Source organism: Homo sapiens, chromosome 1 (genome assembly GCF_000001405.40).
Source record: "Homo sapiens chromosome 1, GRCh38.p14 Primary Assembly".
NCBI classification, from domain to species: domain Eukaryota; kingdom Metazoa; phylum Chordata; class Mammalia; order Primates; family Hominidae; genus Homo; species Homo sapiens.
The window spans coordinates 237,854,018-237,873,122 of NC_000001.11; the positions used below are offsets into that span (position 1 = coordinate 237,854,018).

Consider the following 19,105-nt stretch of genomic DNA (forward strand, 5'->3'; position numbering starts at 1 on the left):
AACCAGAGTCAAGTAATTGATTTCTGAAGACACCCTGGCCTTTACATACTTGCATGTCTTACTTCATGTAATTTTCTCTTGCTTTTCAAGTACATGATTAGCCACAATGTGATAAGTATATAAATCAACTGCCTGCCCTCTAGGACTTCTCACATTTAAATGTAGACCTAAATTACTTTTGTTACACTGAAAAGATTTGAAAATGCTCGGTTGAATCACATTCAAGCCACTTCAGAAGGCTGCAATAATTTCCTACATTGCCGAAGGAAATTATTCTCCCAAATACATTCCGGTTTGTTTGTTTGTTTGCGATAGAGTCTTGCCTTGTCGTCCGGGCTGGAGTGCAGTGGCACGATCTCAGCCCACTGCAACCTCCGCCTCCCAGATTCAAGTGATTATCTTGCCTCGGCCTCCCGAGTAGCTGGGAGCCATCACACCCAGCTAATTTTTAGTAGAGACGGGGTTTCACCATGTTGGCCAGGCTGGTCTCGAACTCCTGACCTCAACTGATTTGCCTGCCTTGGCCTCCCAAAGTGCTAAGATTACAGGCGTGAGCCACACACCCCGGCCAACATTCTGTTTTGTAGAAAGCATTCCTTCACTACCTCCATCACCCAGGTTTTGAAATCATCCAGCTTCCCACTGTGAAGGGCATTCAGAGTCAATGGCTGAAGTTTCAGACAGTCACTTGCTTCCATGGAACCGTGGCAAAATGCGTATCGTGGTTTAAGCAAACTTTCCTAATGCTTTATGAGAGGGACATCTCACCACTGTTAGCCTTAATAAGACATACATTCCTCCCCAACTGATGACTCCTCTTAATGGTTCAAATGTGTGCCACATACTTGAGAAAGCAGGTTCAAATGATTTTGGAAAATTTTTCAATGTTCTTTGAAATCATTGATAACACCCAGAGTAGCATTAAACACTGTGGGGAATCACTTGTTATCTTTCTAAACTTCAGCTGGAAACGAGTAGATCAGATAGAAGACCTAAGAAAGGGTTGCGCCACTTGTGAAATAATAGAAAATAAAAAGGGCTCATAGTATATGTGTCGATTGCATTTCCAGTGCCCTGTTCTAATCGCTATGCAGTCATCCATAACTTAATACGTTCTGAGAAATGAGTCCTTAGGCGATTTCACCACCGTGCAAACAAACGCAGATGCTGTAGCTTACAGCACGCCTCGGTTAGGCGTATAGCCATTTAGCTCCTAGGCTACAAACCTGTGCCCCATGTTACTATACCAAACGCCGTAAGCAACTGTAACACAATGGTATTTGTATATCTAAACATAGAAAAGGTATAGTAAAAAAATACATACATTACAAAAGATAGAAAACGGTACATCTGTCTAGGACACTTACCATGAATGGAGTTTACAGAACTGGAAGTTGCTCTGGGTGAGTCAGTGAGGAGTGGTGAGTGAATTTGAAGGCCTGGGATATTGCTATACACTACTGAAGACTTTGTAAACACTGTGAACTCAAGTTCCCTGAAAAAAAACATGGAGAAAAGAAACTATTCCAGCGAAGAGTTTGCAGCCTTAAGTGTAAAACGAAGGGGTGTTCCAGAGGAAAAAAAAAAAAAAACAAGGCCCTGGTTTTATAACAAAAGTTCCCACCTGGGCTTCCAATCAGGTCCATGTATGCAATGAAGACTTGAAACTTGCTTCGTTTTGATTGGTCAATACAGCTGAATCCTAATTGGGTGATACAGCTGAGTCCTGATTGGCCAAGGTAGGTGAGCTGTGATTGGTTGATTTAGGTGAACGCTGACAGTCTTAATAACAAAAAGGTGCAGGTTTTCAGGGAACTCAGTACCTGTGTGATCCCTAGTTAACAAATGACCACTTAGCTCTATTTTTAATTTAGGATCAGTTAGCCACTTGGGATGCATTTGAAGGATTGGCTCTTTCGGATTCACATTTTTTGACAACTGTATACTTAGGCTACACTAAATTCGTGAACAATATTTTTCTTAAATAAATTAACCTTAGCTCACTGAAACTGTTTTACCACATAAACTTGAATTTTTAAGGTTTTGACTCTTTAGTAGTAACTCTTGGCTTAAAACACACATTGTATAGCCATATAAAAATACTTTATTTATGTCCTTATTCTATAAGCTTTTTTCTATTGCTGCTGACATCAAAATAAAAATGTAGAGATAAATCTCTAAATTTAAAATTTTATTTTGGAGGAAAGAATTGCAATTCAGGAGCCGGGCAGAGTGGCCGATGCCTGTAATCTCAGTGCTTTGGGAGGCTCAAGTGGGAGGATCGCTTGAGGCCAGGAGCTGAAGACCAACCTGGGCAACACAGCAAGAACTATCTCTACAAACATAAAAATAAAAAATAAGCCAGGCATGGTGGCATGGCCTGTAATCCTACTACTCAGGAGGCTGAGGCAGGAGGATAGCTTGAGCCCAGGAGTTTGAGGCTGCAGTGAGTGAGCCATGATCTATCTCACTGCTGCACTCCAGCCTGAGCAATGGAGTGAGACCCTGTCTCTTTAAAAAAAAAAAAGAAGTTCAAGACATATCCTCATCCGGGTAACCTTCAGTATGTCTGAAGAACAAAGAGAAGGTTGGGGGTTTTATAAAGAAAAAAAGAGGGATGTTTTGTGTGGTCCTGAGAAAAAGTTCACTGATATTAGTAAGGTTTTGGCAAGCTCCGATGGATGGGCAATGGCAGTGGGCAAAATTAGTCCTACAGCTGCAGCAAGTTATCTCAGCACCTGTAGATGAAACTGGTTTTGGGTTACAACAGGCAGTTTCCTTGCAGAGAATAACATTTCTAGAGCAACATTATGTATCCTGAGTGGTTTTTCCTCCTAGTTCCTCAACTCTGATATAGTTGGGTATGACAAGAATGACCCTATTCATATAGGATCAACTTTCACACTATTTTTAAAAGTTTTTATATGTTAGTTTACTTTTAAACTTTTTTGTTAAAAAGTAAGACACTCACACACACATTAGCCTAGGCCTAAAGAGCGTCAGGATCATCAAGATGTCACTAAGCAATAGGAAGTTTCCAGCTCTATGAAAATCTTATGGGACCACCATCATACATGTTTTGTTGACTGAAGCAGTTGTTATGTAGCACATGACTGTATTTCTATGCAAGCGTCTACCAGCTTGCCTGGCCTGCACCATGTATCTCTTGTTTTATGCCCTGGGCTTCTCTGATGCTGCAGTATGAGATGCTGGAGGTGACCCCCTTGGAGCACAGACACCTACAATCTGAAGAGTCTTATGCTACGCAGCCATGCTTGACGGATGGGGGACCAGAGCCAATGAGTAAATTCTGCCCTTGTTTTCCCCTGGAAGGACGGCTCAGAGCATACAGAAAGGCTTCTCAGAAAATGGCATGGGAGATGTTGGTCAAAGGGCACACACTTTCAGTTAATAAGATGAATGACTTCTGGTTATCTAAAATACAGCATAACTTAAAAAAAAAAACAACTTCAAACACATTAAATTTAACAGAGTTTAATTGAACAAAGGACAATTCAAGAATTGGGCAGCCCTCAGAACCAGAACACAGGTTCAGAGGATTCAGCTGCTCAATGTGGGCACGCAGCATTTCTGGACAGAAAACGGAAGTGAGGTCCCGAGACAGCTCGATTGGTTCCAGCCCAGCGTTTACCTTATTTCCACATAGTCCGATCGGTTAGCTGCCTATGATTGATTGACTAAGCTCAGCTGCTGTGATTGGCTGAGATTCAGCTACTTGTTACAAAAGTATACTCCTAAGTCAGGCTTTCAGTGAGTTTAGGTTCTGATATGGTTTGACTCTGTGTTTCCACCCAAATCTCATGTTAAATTTTAACCCTTCATGTTGGGGGAGGGAACTGGTGGGAGATGATTGGATCATGGGTGCAGTTTTCCCCTTGCTGTTCTCATAATAGTGAGTTCTCTTGAGATCTGGTTGTTTGAAAGTATGTAGCCCTTCCCCTTTCGCTCTCTTCCTCCCCCTCCAACATGTGAGGATGTGCTCGCTTCCCCTTCGCCTTCTGCCATGATTGTAAATTTCCCAAGGCCTCCCAGCCATGTTCCCTGTACAGCCTGCAGCACTGTGAATCCATTACACCTCTTTTCTTCATGAATTACCCAGTCACGGGTAGTTCTTTATGGCAATGTGAGAACAGACTCATGCAGGTACTAAGTTAGGTTGCAGTCCGTTATGTAGAGACTCAAAATATGAAGGCCAAATTTAGTTTAACATGCCTATAATTCAAAACATTGTACTGTATGCTTCAAATTTACTAAGAGAGTAGATCTTAAGGTAGCTAGCTATGTGAGGTAACAGATATGCTTATTAGCTTGTGGTAATCATTTCACGATGTGTATCCATATCAAATCATCACTTTGTACACCTTACATATATATGCTTTTTTGAGTCAGCTATACCTCAGTAAAGTTGGGTTGGGGGGGAAGTAAAAGAAAGTTCCATGGGATGGAGCCCCTGTCCGTTGGAGCTCTAGCTGCCCTGGCAACATGCCCTTGCAGTACCTCTCTCTCCTGTTTCCCTCCCACTGGTCCCTCACTCCACTCCCTGGGTGACATGCAAACATTTGCATTACATATTGACGTGCAAACTACCTGCTCACAAGTCTTTGTGCCAGTCTCTGTTCTCAGGGGAATCTAGGCTAAGACACTAATTGTTTAACCAGTTCAGCAACTGCTCAATTAAACCAACTGGATAGCTTGGACCTCTCTTACTACCAACTATCTTTCTCCTTTGGAAGGAAAATGGAAGGCGGCCACAACAGGTATCCAGGCACAAGAATTCCCAGGGCCACCCAGCTACACAGACATGTCAGCAAAACAAAAGATTCACAAACTAATCATCATCTAATGAAAGAAACTAAATCAGTAATTATGATAAAATCTCCTGGGGTAGTGAGAAAGGAGGAGGAAAGTGGCTTTAACAAATGCATATTTAATGACTTAGCAAGATAAGATAATTAGGCATAGTCTGCAGAACGGTGGGTTGGGGGTGGTTGTGGTGGAAAGACTGCCACAAAACTGTGAGATCAAAGCTCATTTATAAAGTAATTAAATCCCGGGTACAGCTGTTGCCCAAAGGAATATTCATTTTCAAAAAATTTTCATCTTTGACTCAACTTTTGAAAAGCTGGTTATGCCTAAGCCTTAGGGCACGTTAGGAAATCCAGCTGGATTTGGGAGTCGATACTCAACAGGAAGAGCTGAATTTGCATCCTAGGGCCTTCTTGCTCCAGCAAATGATGTGGGCAGTGAAGTTATGACAGGCTCTCTCTGTCTTCCTGTGCTTCAAATACCTTCCTCATTTAATACACAGTGGCCTTTAGAAGTAGGTATCTCCACACATGTCCACAGAGAGGGAACAACACACACCAGGGCCTGTTGCAGGATTGGGGGTGAGGGGACGGAACTGAGAGGACGGGTCAACAGGTGCAGCAAACCACCATGGCACACATATACCTGTGTAACACACCTGCACACTCTGCACATGTATCCTGTTTTTGTTTTTTAGAATAAATAAAAATAATTTTTTAAAGAAAAGTAAGCATCTCCATTTTACCATATCAAAAATGTGAGGTGGTTAGATTAGTTGAACTCAGACATGTTTCCATGTTTCACTTTGAGTCTTGGGTGCAGACACTGACAAGGGCTCAACTGTCATGATTCATTGCTGAAAGGGAAGAAGGTAAAGGAAGCTCTCATATCTTCCAGATGCCTTACACAAATGGCACATGTTGTATACAAATTTGGTAAGAGCTCTTTAACACATTTCCCATTTGCCTCGGAAATACTGCTCGGGCAGCGAGCTTCACTCGTTTTTCCTCTAACCAGGAAATGGGTTAAGCCCACAGATAGAAGTATGATTATTATATCGAGTTTTCCTACAAATAGAAAATAAATGTACTGGTCAGGGTTATTTAAGCATCCCCCTCCCATTGCCAATTACAGACTTCATGGGAAATTAGAGTTGCCATATTCTAGTTTACTCACCAGAGCCTTTGGAGTTTGTTTTGAGTTTGTGTCAATTCTATAGAAATGAATTAAGACAGAGGAATGGGAAGTGAAGCTTCTGGATCTGTAAAGCTTCTGGATCTGAAAGTGGCAAATGCCCCAGTTCTTTCTTTCTTCCAGGCCTCATTAGCTCTGGTCATGCCCTCCTCACAGAAGGCAGCTTAACCCTGAGTCTACAGGTTTCATTAAAATTGCTGAGTAATCGCATGAGAAAAACCCCTACGATAATAGGTATTGATCTTCTGGCATAGTTATTATGATTTTAAATTATAAATCACATCTAGTCAGGTATCAACCAACATCCACAAGGAAACTATTGGTTCAAAATGTATTTATGTATGTATGTATTTATTTATATTTATTTATTTTTATTTTTTGTTTTTGAGACAGAGTCATGCTCTCTTGCCTAGGCTGGAGTGCAGTGGCACGAGTTCGGCTTGCTGCAACCTCTACCTCCCAGGTTCAAGCAATTCTCCTGCTTCAACCTCCGTAGTAGCTGGGATTACAGGTGCGCGCCGCCACACCTGGCTAATTTTTTGTATTTTAGTAGAGATGGGGTTTCACTGTGTTGCCCAGGCTGGTCACGAACTCCTGAGCTCAGGCAATCCACCTGCCTGGGCCTCCCAAAGTGCTGAGATTACAGGCGTGAGGCACCGCACCAGGCCCAAAATGTATTTACTAAGTGGCATCTACATGCTGGTTGCTATGGGTACAAAGATTAATATTAATAGCAATAAAAAGAATAATATGTATATAGTGTATACTGTGTGCCAGGTACTATCCTAAATATACATATATATTTAGAATATATACATTTATGCTAGATGGGGTATGTGTGTATATAAATATACTTCTTTAATTCTCACAATAAAAATTATCTTCATTTTACAGACAAGGAAACTGAGGCAAAAGGAGGTTAAGTAACTCACTAGAGGTAAGACATTCTGAAAGAATTCACTCTGGTGGGGAACAGACACAAAGAAACCACACAACCATGTGATAATGCGATTACAGAACATGTAAGAAGTGCTCTTACAGGGAAGGAAGACAGCAAGGTGCGAAGAACACCTTCTGGAGGAGATGAGAAGCCTTCCTTAGGCAGATGACATCTGAGTGACTCTCGGAAAACGAAAAACAGCTTTCGAAATAGGACAGGCAGGGCATACAGGGCATAACAGAAAGAGGTCATCCAATCTATAGCTTTATTCATAATTGCATCATATTGAAACAACCAAGATGTCCTTCAGTAGGTGAATGGATAAACAAACCGTGGTACATCCAGGGAATGGAACCTTATTCAGCAATTCAAAGAAATGAATAATCAAACCACGAAAAGACATGAAGGAAACTTAAATGCATATTCCGAAGTGAAAGGAGCCAATCTGAAAAGGCTATATACTGTATGATTCTAACATATGCCATTCTAGGAAAGGCAAAACTATAGATAGAGACAGTAAAAAAGATCGGTGGTTGTCAGGGATTAGGGGTGTGTGGGAGGAGATGAATAGCAGAGGACAAGCAATTTTTAGGGCAGAACGACTTTTCTGTATGATACTGTAATGGATATATGACAATATTCATTTGTCAAAACCCATAGAAATTACAACACAAAGAGTGAACCCCAATGGAAACCATAAACTTTAGTTAATAAAAATATATCAATAATGTTCCAATTGTAGCACATGTACCACAGCAATGCAAGATGTTAATGCTATGGGAAACTGGAGAGCAGGGAGAGGAGGAGGAGTATATGGAAACTCTGTACTTTCTGCTCATCCTTTTTGTAAACCTAAAACTTCTCTAAAAATTAAACTCTATTGAAAGAGAAATAAAGGGAGAAATAGCCTTCAAAATATTACAGAGAGAGCATTATAGAAAGAGGGGCATTGAGTCTTCAGAGTGCTTTCCAAAACCTGAATTAATCGTGGAGTAGGAAATATTAAGTCATGAGTAATTTATAACTTAGTATAAATTATTAGTTCATTTTCCTTGCTGCTGTCATTAGCTGGTTTCAGGATGTGAAGAAATGAAGATTCCCTTGGCTGCAAGTGAAACCTAGCTCAGACTCCCTTCGAGTAAAAGGAAGTGTACTGGCTGACGTAACCTGGAAGTCCTAGGTGCCACTTCCGGCATCGCTGAATCCAAGAGTACAAATGAAGTCACTGTAATGCATCTCTCTACTCACTACTTCCTCCTTCTCTCCCTCCGTCTCCCTCCTCCCCTCTTTCTCTGTCGTGCCTCAATTCGATGCACTTCTATCAGGTTGTCTTTAAATAGTGTAGTGATAGCCCCTAGCAGGTCCAGGCTCATGTGATTTTTTTAGTTCTTCTGAGGGGAAACTGTCTTCTCTATGTACAGGGGTTCCTGGGAAAGACATGAGGCTGGAGAGCCAGGCTGGTAAACAGACAGCAGCCAAAGCAGGCCTGAGGATGAAGAAGCAGGTCACAGAGCAAAGTCACTCCATAGGAACCAGCTAGTGAGGTATATCACCATCACCCCTACCACTTCAGGACTCAGTGAATGGTACCCCGGTTACGCTTTGGCCAAAAAATAAGAGCAAGGACATTAGAGGCAATAGGGCCCTGACCTATGTACTGCTTTTCTTATTCTGCTGTGACTGAATACTGTGCCTCCAGCACCTATACCATTCCTATTTCAAGACTACTTTTTGAGAGTCACCTTAGTGGAGGAGACAATGAAACCCCCGTTTGAACAGGTACCAAATCCCACAGCTTTAACTCTATTTGTGCCTTATGTGAAAGGGTCACATGAATTTAAAAAATGTATATTCTAATTTTTCCCATTGTGTTTCTGCAGATCTTGCCGATCCAGAGTCAGTGACCCAGGCCGCAGTTTGAGAAAGTGATAGCTGATAGAATGTCCCTATGGCTGCCTTAGGACACTCAATAAGCATCTAGTACATGAGAAAAATTACATCTGCTTTGCCTCTTATTCTTCTCCAAGGACTCTAAGAATCTAAGTTGTGACACCAAGATAGAAAACAAGATAGTAAAATAATTCTCTGTTATCATCATCTTCTACATTAAATAACTCCCCTAGATAGCTCTATTGTCTAGAGGTCAGTGATGTCCACCAGAACTTTCTCCAGTGATGGGAACGTTCTTAATGTAGTAGCTACTAGACACACATATAGCTACTGAGCAGGAAGTGTGGCTAGTGTAAACTAGAACTGATTTTTAAATTTTATTCCAATTAATATGAATTCAAATTCTACACATGGCTAGTGACTGTCTTATTTGACAGCACAGGTCTTTACAGTCTAATGTTAACCCTTACTAACAGAATGTGCCCCACCCACAATTAAGTGGCCATGTTTTGTGTTACATGACCTTACCCTCCCACCTGATTGGACCACAGGCAGTTACCGGCCCCCAGGACAGCCAATCACAGGCTGCTAATGATCTATACTGTGAAACCTGACTCCATAGGTGAGCTACACCAATCATATTTCTCTCTTTGGATTTTGGAACTGGGAAATTGAGAGGGGATTGGCTATGGGAGCTGAGCTTACTTCATTACACAGACTCAGGGCCCCGGTGGTAACTATGGGCCACCTGCAAACTGGGGCTATGAGAAAACAGGAGTCCTGGTATGTGTTAAAAGGGAGAGCTGGCTGCTGCAGATCGGGGAGAATGGGGTCAGACGTGCTCACAAGAGCAGAAGCTGTGAGGGACCCTCACGGCCCATGAGAAAGAGGCAGGAAGCAGCCTTGGGTTTTCTCTTTGGGGCTTGGCTGTATTTCAGCATGTGTTTATGGCCGCTCACAAGATTCTCTTATTTATTTCCTGGAAATGCGCTCCCTTAGCATAAGCCAGAATGAGTGGAACTCTCTTTCCTGTCATCTAGACCACTTTTAATGAAATTATGATATTGTAATATAAATTATAAAGAAAAGCATGTTATGCACCCTAGAAGTCAATATATTTTTGAGCTGGAAGGAAATTAGGAATCATGGAGTTTAATCTCATCATTTTAAAGATGAGATGGAAGCTATTTTGAAATGTTGCTGTCTAAAGTCACAGAGCTGGTTTCTGAGAAATTTTCAAGTATTAATTTGCTTTCTGAAAGTTTGTTAGAAAAACCAAAATGAAACAAAAAAATCTGTCACTGTAGTTTTTGAGAGAAAAATAAAATACAGTAGTGGATGGATACCTCAGTTTTAAGATGAATCTAACTTTTTAACAGGGCTTACTAACCTAATGGGGTTTCGTTAATAGTTAAAATCCACATTTTACAGGTGTTTGCCCCTAAGTGAATAATTCAGGGTCTCTGTTTTCTGCAAAATATCCTCCCACCCAAATATTTCTGGGGGGCCATGGCGTGTCTCCTGCAGGGTATCGAGGAGAGCTTCCCCAGATGCTCTGCCTCCAAGCGCCACGTGGGGGCGCTGCCTCACCACTGCCTGACCTGCGCACGTGTCCGGGAGAGCGCTGACCTCCGGGCCAAGGCCACTGTGTACTGGCCATTTGCCAAAGCGGAGCTGGCCTCCGCGCGGTTCCCAATTAACCAAAGCCACGTGGATTTGTCATCAGAGCGTTCAAGTGACACGGCCGGGCCCTGCGCGTGTGGAGTGCCTGGTGAAAGCTGCTCCTTGGTTTCTGCTTCCAGCCATAAGGTTCAGACAGGAACCATGAACCCAAGGGCTGGATCAAAAATAAATGTGTCACACAGACAGCTCTCTGTGAGTTCCTCTGAGTCTCTGACAACCTGGGGCCACTTCCCACATCCCGACCTCTTCCTGTTCTCCAATACTGCTTTAAGCACGGTACAGCTTGTGTGCCAGCCAGTGCTACTTCAGGTGGAAAGCTTCCCCTCCCTCCCCTGCCTCCCACAGGAGGCTGGGCACCAGTCGCTGGCCCATGTTTCCACCTCTGATGCACTTCTTTTGGGGCCACACTCCTGGTCCTCTCCCCATCTCCTGCTGTCTGGGGAAAAGGAGAGGCTTACCAGATGAGTGAGTTAGAGAGAGGGGACAGAGCCCGGGGGCCAGTTCCTTCCCCTCTGCAGAGCTCATCTCTGCCAGAGGCCTCTGTTCCTGCCTCCAACACTCTTGAGCTGAGTTGCACAGGCCTTTGTAAAGGGGGCCTGCAGTTTTCCATCTCTGTCCAGGATTGTGTGAGCACATTTAATTCTGGGACGAAATCCTAATAATATTATTTTTGAGCCTCCTCAAGTTAAAACTCACCGCCTATGTACTTGACACTATATTAAGTGTTAAGGATTCAGAGAATACCAAGAAAAGCTGTAAGAATCTCCAGAGAGCTGGTGTCTGGGGAATAGGGACAGGAGGTGTTAGTGCCACTAACCAAGACTGGAGACATCTGCAGAAGAGGGTCAGGCCAAGTCAACCTTGGTCTAACACAGTTCGTGGCATTTTTGGTTTTTTAATTGATACTCTTTTTGAGATGGAGTCTTGCTCTGTCACCCAGGGTGGAGTGCAATGGCATGATCTCGGTTCACTGCAACCTCCATCTCCTGGGTTCAAGTGATTCTCCTGCCTCAGCCTCCCGAGTAGCTGGGATTACAGGCACCCGCCACCATGCCCGGCTAATTTTTGTATTTTTAGTAGAGATGGGGTTTCACCATGTTGGCCAGGCTGGTCTCAAACTCCTGACCTCAAGTGATCCACCCACCTCAGCCTCCCAAAATGCTCGAATTACAGGCATGAGCTACCATGCCTGGCCATGGACACATTTTTGAGTGAGGTTGCAATTTTATAATAGTGGTTTTTTTCTTAGTTGAGATTGTAATAGAATAATTTTAATGATATAATTGTTTTAATGGTAGAATTTAATGCACTGTTTTTTCCATATAGCATTGTGATTTCCAAGTGTAAAAATGTACACTAATAAAAGAATTTTTGAATTAAAGTAGCAAAAAAACTTTACCCTATTACTTGTATATTTCCTTCCAGTCTTTTTTCCCCTCTGTGCAGGTTTTATGTGCCTTTGATGATATGTTTGATTTTAATTCAACTGTAATTATTTTGTCATTTTCTATCCAGAGTTTGTCACTTAAGACTATCTTATGAGAATATTTTCATAGTACAGTCTTCATAAAGATAAGCAAAAAATGGTCATAATATATTTGACTAACCAAATATACTCTAGTTTAATGATTTCTCTATGTTTGGACAATTATTTCAGTTCCCTCCACCTTTTGCTACTATAAATTGACTAAAGGATAGAGCATTTGAAATCAGAAATAAATGGCTGTAACTCTAGCCTTGACGCTAGTAACCTAGGAGCTTTGTGTAAGCTCCTTAGTCTCCTTGAGTCTGTTTTCTGTGAAATGGGAATATGTAATTCTTACTTCATAGGTTATTTTAAGCAATAAATAAATGTTGTACACGAAGCACCAAGTACAATGCTTAACATCTAGTACATGTTTAATAAAAGTATTTCCTACCTCTCTTTCCTATGACATGAATACATAAATAAATTATGTGATTTCTGACAGGCCCTACCTAGCAGACAATTGCAGATCACTAGGGGAATATATTAGATAAGTACTTTGATGTATTAAGGCACCAGCATTTTACAAAACGAATGATGAAATTTATGTCTTTGGCCCAAAAGAGTTTACAATTTAGAGTTAACAATTTTCCACCTGTCCCCAAAACCAGTAGAAAGTTGAATAATAAACAAACCTGCATTCAAATGGATAACCTTCATGAGTCAGGCCCAATATGAGCTCTTCAATGAGTTTTCCTTTAGCATAGAATCTTTTCCCTTCATGATTGCTATTAAGATGTATTTGTTCATTTGTTCACTCATCTGGGCCTGGACCTGTCTAATAAGTCAGGAGGTGACTTGAGTCCACTCCTGAGTTTTGAAGATGGCATCAGCCTTAAGGAGGCTGCTTACCTTCCTCTTTGCTGGGGGGCTGGTAGTGGCAGGGGGAGGGCTTCTTACAGTATGTGTGAATGCTGAAACAATTTATATGTAATTTTGATTAAAGGCTGCCTGCTCTCCACTGGGAACTGGACCTCTGATGATGAACTTTCTCCTTGTGCCATCTACTCTTTCATCAAGCAAAGCTTCCTGAAGCATCTGCTGTATCAGGAGCTCTGCTAAGAGACACAGAAGAGACTGTGACTACCATTTCTATCAGGTAGCTGGTAGTCTAGTGGGGAGGAAGACCTGGGGTAAATTGCTGCTAAAGATAAGTACTATGATGGAGGCTTATCAAGCATTCATTCATTCAATGATAAATGTCTATTGATTATGAGACACCAGTCAGACCTGCACTGGAAACTAAGGATGCAGAGATGAGAAAACATTCTGGTCCTGTCCTTGTCCATCTGTCCATCCTGTCTAGGAGCTGCTTGGCACTACCAGCATTCTTCTCTCTCCTTTTCTCAGTGGAAATGAATTCAACCAGTGTTGTAGTTGGCCAGCAGTTTAAAATAGGACAGTGAATAAAACAAGCATTTTCCCCCTAGGAACTCAGACAGTTGGGGCTAAAGGATTTCACTCTTATCCCTTTGTACCAGATCCTGCCTTGAGGTAACCTGAGACGGCTGGCTTTTCAAATCCTGTGTGTTCTTTCCTAGCTGGAAGTTTGTTCTTCCTTTGTTTTAAAGTGGGGGGAAATTTATGTAAATGGATCTCAGTCATGCAAAGAAGATTTAATTGGTGATTTAGGGGTATAATCTTTTTCCTCCATTGAAAACTTGGAACTGGATTGTTCTTGTCTGAACCTAAACTGTTTTCTTCCCAGGAGTCCTGACTGATTGGGGCTCATCCCTCTTTGGCTGGGAGTCTAGTCCTGGGAGTGCAGGGCTTGTGTCTTCTCCTGTTGTGCTAATTTCCCCTCAAGGAACTGTGTTGGCCCCTTTACCTAAGGATGGAGAAAAGCCTGATATTAATTCCCACTCCTCCTTGAGGACAAAAGGGGAGGAAATAATAGAAGTGTGGGGCTTTCAAAGGGAAAGCCCTAATTCTAAATGATTCCACTAATTAGCCATAGGACCCTATACCTGGTCCCTCCAGGAACTGAGATGGACTGGGTGGGCGATAGGGGTGGGGTGTCAGGGAATTCTAGTGAAACCAGGGAAGGAAACCAACTTACATGTAGAAATTGGGATTTATAATCCTTTGGGTATATACCCAGTAATGGGATTGCTGGGTCAAATAGTATTTCTAATTCTAGATCCTTGAGGAGTCGCCACACTGTCTTCCACACATGCACACACATGTTTACTGCAGCACTGTTCACAATAGCAAAGTCTTGGAACCAACCCAAATGCCCATCAATGATAGACTGGATAAAGAAAATGTGCCACATATACACCATGGAATACTATGCATCCGTAGAAAAAGATGAGTTTATGTTCTTTGCAAGGACATGGATGAAGCTGGAAACCATCATTCTCAGCAAACTAACACAGGAACAGAAACCCAAACACCGCATGTTCTCACTCTTAAGTGGGAGTTGAACAATGAGAACACATGGACACAGGGAGGGGAACATCACACACCTGGGCCTGTCAGGGGTGGAAGGCTTGGGGAGGGATAGCATTAGGAGAAATAACTAATGTAAATGATGAGTTGATGGGTGCAGCAAACCAACATGGCCCATGTATACCTATTAACAAACCTGCACGTTGTGCACATGTACCCCAGAACTTAAAGTATAATAATAAAAAATAAATAAATAAATTGGGAGTCTGAAACCCCTTTGACTTCTGTGATCTGAGACACCAAAATAGATGACCCTTTGTTAACGAAGACAGATCCTGAGGTTAAGGAAATGAAAGTTACCTACAGGTTGAGGTCTCAGGGCTAGACTGGCATGGCAACTTCCTAAATTCCTATGGCTACAAGAAAAAACACACTTTTGCTAAACTCCCTAACAGTAGGAGCTATCAGGAAAATTGTCAGACACTTCCTAACTCTGCTTTACAATCCAGACTCGTACAACTCTGATTGGATAGAGGACCATCTTGCAAACATTCTTTCCTGATAAGCAACTGCAGACCTGAAGTCAGTTCCAGCCAGATCTAGAGACAGCGCACAAAGTGTCTTTGTGTTCTATAGTTCACCTTTTGATGTAGAGCCAAATTCTACCTCATTTTAATCTAAAACCCTGCCCCAAAGTAAACTGAGCTCTCTGTTACATGTGTGTTTACCCATTGTGCATACACAAGACTCCCCTCATAAATATGTATAGCTTTCCCCCAAATCTATGTATGATTCTACTGTGTAATATGGACCCCGTGAGGCATAAAAGCCAACCTGCTCTTCCCTCTTCAAAGAGAAATCACCTTCAGTACATGCCAGAGACAGTCTCTTCTGGTACTGCAAACTGATACCACAAACACAGTTCACCATTCTGCTGTTCAGCCACACTAGTGGTCTTTTGGATGATGATCTTTTCACTTTTCCTCTTTGGGGCTTCCTTTCGGTTTCCTTTGCCTTTAGTTTTGAAGTACAGCTTCTTTTGAAAACTTCACCTAACTCTCTCATATACTGCTGTATTACATTTTGAGAAACTGGGCAATATACATGTCATTTGACCCAGCAATTTCACTTGAAGGAATTTATCTCAAGGAATAACAAGTACAGTACATAAAAGTGTCTGTATAAGGGTGTTCATCCCTACATTGTTTATAATACTGTAAAGACTGGCCATGATATAAATGTTTACCAAGTGAAGACAGCACAATAAAGACTGGTATAGCCATACAATGGAATGCCATGTAGCTGTTTGTAAGGATATCTATATTTGTTTTAAAATATTTCATCATATATGGTGTGTTAAGTTATTCCTAAGTATAGCCATTGGCTCCCTTTGAAATTAAAACCCGTAGGAATGGTCAGCTAACATTGTCATCAGGAAGCTCTCACCCAGTGTGACCACTGTCAAGATCCTCCTCTTTCCCACCTCTTCATCAAACGTGGAGGCTTTGCTAATGGCTGGAGTGATTGTTAAGAATGGTCTTTATTGGCAAAATCAGTTATATTGAAGATTGGGTCTAATGAACTATTTGAAACCCTATATTTGCCTGAAAAAGAACATAAGAATGGAGCAAGGCCTGTGGCCTATGATGACACTTGAGATTCCATCCCAAAATCCAGGGGCCAGTTTAGACTCAGGTTCACCTTTAGACAGCACTCCAGTTGGGTCTGGATTCGCTTTCCTGGTGCCCAGACTGACCAAATTCTATGATATTCCGCATTGGCTACGTGAAGCTTTTCTGCACGATGGCAAAAGACCTAGAGTTGGGCTTTCCCCCAGCTCATGAAATAGATGACATGACTATTTTTGTGATCCTTTCTCTTTGTGTGTGTGTGCGTGCGTGTGTGTGTGTGAATTTGACCTTGTTTTCATTCGTGAGGGGAATAGCTGACTCTCATGATCTCAAAATTTTCTGTAGCTACCAATCTCTACCAAAGTGAACTTAAGGCATATACATGGCCAGATTGGCTAATGTCAGTTGGCCACACCATTTAATGATGATGCAGATTTACATCGTTAATGTGGAGATGTCTGTGATATATTGGTGCATTTGTTATCTGCTGCTGTGCAACAAAGTACCCCCAAGCTTAGTTGCTTAAAACAATAATTGTTTATCATCTATCACAAGTTCTGCAGATTGGGAATTCAGACAGGATGCTGTAGAAACAGCTTATCTCTATCCCGAAGTATCTGGGACCTGGATTCATTAGAGGTACATTCTCTCATATGTCTAGGTACGTTCTCTTACATAGCTAGGTGGTAATGCTGTCTGGCTGCTACAAGACTAGCTGGGACCACTTTACAGCATGTGGCTGGGACCCAGGGGCAGGTGTAAAAAGAGAGAATGAGTGAGTGCCAGATGGAAGCCATATGCTTTTTCTGATCTAGCCTCAGCATTAACCCCCGACTATTTGCAGCATGCTTGTTAGTTAGAAGCCAGTCACTAAGTCTATCCCATACTCAGGCCAGAAGAGAGAGTACTTTTTTTTTGAGGTGAAATTTTACTCTTGTTGCTGAGGCTGAAGTGCAATGGCGTGATCTCAGCTCACTGCAACCTCCACCTCCTAGGTTCAAGTGATTCTCCTGCCTCAGCCTCTCGAGTAGCTGGGATCACAGGTGCCCGCAACCATGCCCAGCTAATTTTTTTTGTATTTTTAGTAGAGACGGGGTTTCACCATGTTAGCCAGGCTGGTTTAGAACTCCTGACCTCAAGTGATCTGCCCACCTTGGTCCCCCAAAGTGCTAGGATTACAGGCGTGAACCACCATCCCCAGCTGAGAGAAGATTCTTAATAGCTCTTAGGAGTGAGGAGATTTTTCCAAATTCCCTCTGCAGGAATTCTCCAGCCTCAGAGCTGGGGTACTCACGCACTCACTCCAGAACCAGCTAGTAATAAGAGGGATGGGATTCCTCTCAGACAAAAGAGGCCTCCTCCCAGAACTGGGGTGGGGTCAGCATCACCTATGAACACAGATATACGGGGTGGAGTGGCTACCTGATTAAACGATGCTTCTTCAAGAAAGGAGGGGTGGGGTCAGTCCTAGATAGCTCATCAATTTTGCTCATTTTGTGGGTTACAACTTTAAGTTCTGCACGGCAAATAAGTATGTATTTAATAAGCATCCGTTGGTGATAAGAATGATGGTAACACCAGTGAGGATGACAATATGGAGAACTCTGGTTGGTTGCACTTTGTGTGCCAAGTACTGTGCTAAGCTCATTAAATGTATCATACTTAAACCTCACAATTCTTTTCTATGTATTGATGTAATTTGATTGTTCCAATATCCCAAAGTATACTATGAAGCTTTATGGGAAGAGTACATTTTGAAAAGGGGTTGCAGGAAGAGAGAAGTCATGTGCTCCAGGTGGGGAAGGGAGTGGCTATGAAGTTCCCAGCTAGTGACCTAAATGCAGTGTTCCATTTAACAACTGTCTTGGCATGTGTCTAGGTGGTGATGCTGGCTGGCTGCTAGGGAACTTGCTGGGGCCATTGGCCGGATAACCCACATGGCTGGGATCTAGGGGCAGGTGTTCTAACCTAAAGGGGGCAGCTGAAGACTCAGGGGCCAGGAAAGACAAGGAGCAGTTAGATGAAGGTAGTTATAGGGCAGCTGGTGGAGGGTCTTGAAGGTCTGGCTTGGGACTGATATGTGACAGAAGAGCTATTTTTGAGACAAATTGCTCAAATCCAAATTCCCAAAGTCTTAGTAGAAGCTGAACTGTAATAAGGTAAAAGTCAAAATAATATGTCACATTAGTGACTTACCCCACAGGTTGTTGGACTATCCCAGTTTACACAGATGAGGCGGCAGAGACAGTTACCCAAGCACACTGGGCCACAGAGTGGCTGAAAGGCAAAACCTCTCCTGCTGAGCTTCCAGGGGTGCTGAGATGCCAAGGCCACCAGCTTCCTCCTGTGGACCTATCCTGTGCGAGGACCTATAAAAAGAGATACAAAGCCGAGGGAGTTAAATGGAACACTGTGTTTGACATTTCCAACTCAAAGTGGAGAAAATCAAGAGAGCTACTAGAATGGAAAAGAATGGAGGCAGGTGCTACCATGGAAAGGGCACAGAATCAGAAAAACTCAAATCCAAACTGGGATTCCTGAGTGGATCTACTAGTGCCCTCAGGTTCCTGGGCTCTGTAGAAGGCAGGAAGTCATAGAGCAAACAGATAAATGAAATCTGGAGAGGAGATGTATGTGATGTCCTGGAAAATCGGGGATTTAAATTGCTTCTCTGTCATTTCTCAGACTTGTAGAACTGGGGGTGTTGCCAAGGTCAGCCTGCACAGGACTGGGATAGTCCATCAATAACAGTCATTTACTCACTATGTATGGAATATTTATTGAATGTTTCTTATAAAAACCACGTTCCTCTATCTAGCATCAATGTTAAAAAAAAAAAAAACCCTCAAATCTCATTTTTTAAAAGTGGGATAGTAATGTTACCTACTTTGTGGGTTATTTATGAGCATCACATAAAATAATCCATGGAAATTGCCTAAAGAGCGTCTGGCATGGTGTACATACTAAAAAACGGTAATTATTTTATGCTTTCTCAACAGTTTAGGGGTTAAAATGCAGAAATTA

General features: G+C 42.3%; 1 pseudogene across 1 annotated transcript in view, besides 1 other annotated feature; it reads left to right on the forward strand.

Moving 5' to 3' along the window:
* Positions 367 to 928: an enhancer, noted in NCBI's record as "NANOG hESC enhancer chr1:238017684-238018245 (GRCh37/hg19 assembly coordinates)". NCBI's record gives its function as "activates a minimal SCP1, AML or CMV promoter by ChIP-STARR-seq in primed H9 embryonic stem cells {active_cell/tissue: H9 hESC(primed)}" and the evidence as "EXISTENCE:reporter gene assay evidence [ECO:0000049][PMID:30033119]".
* The window catches only part of LOC100130331 (POTE ankyrin domain family, member F pseudogene), a 66,147-nt pseudogene continuing 55,199 nt past the window's right edge, over positions 8,158 to 19,105 (forward strand). Inside the window, exons 1-3 of the transcript NR_027247.2 lie at positions 8,158 to 8,188; positions 8,383 to 8,505; positions 13,006 to 13,158. The product of NR_027247.2 is annotated as a POTE ankyrin domain family, member F pseudogene (transcript). The remainder of the gene's footprint in view (positions 8,189 to 8,382; positions 8,506 to 13,005; positions 13,159 to 19,105) is intronic.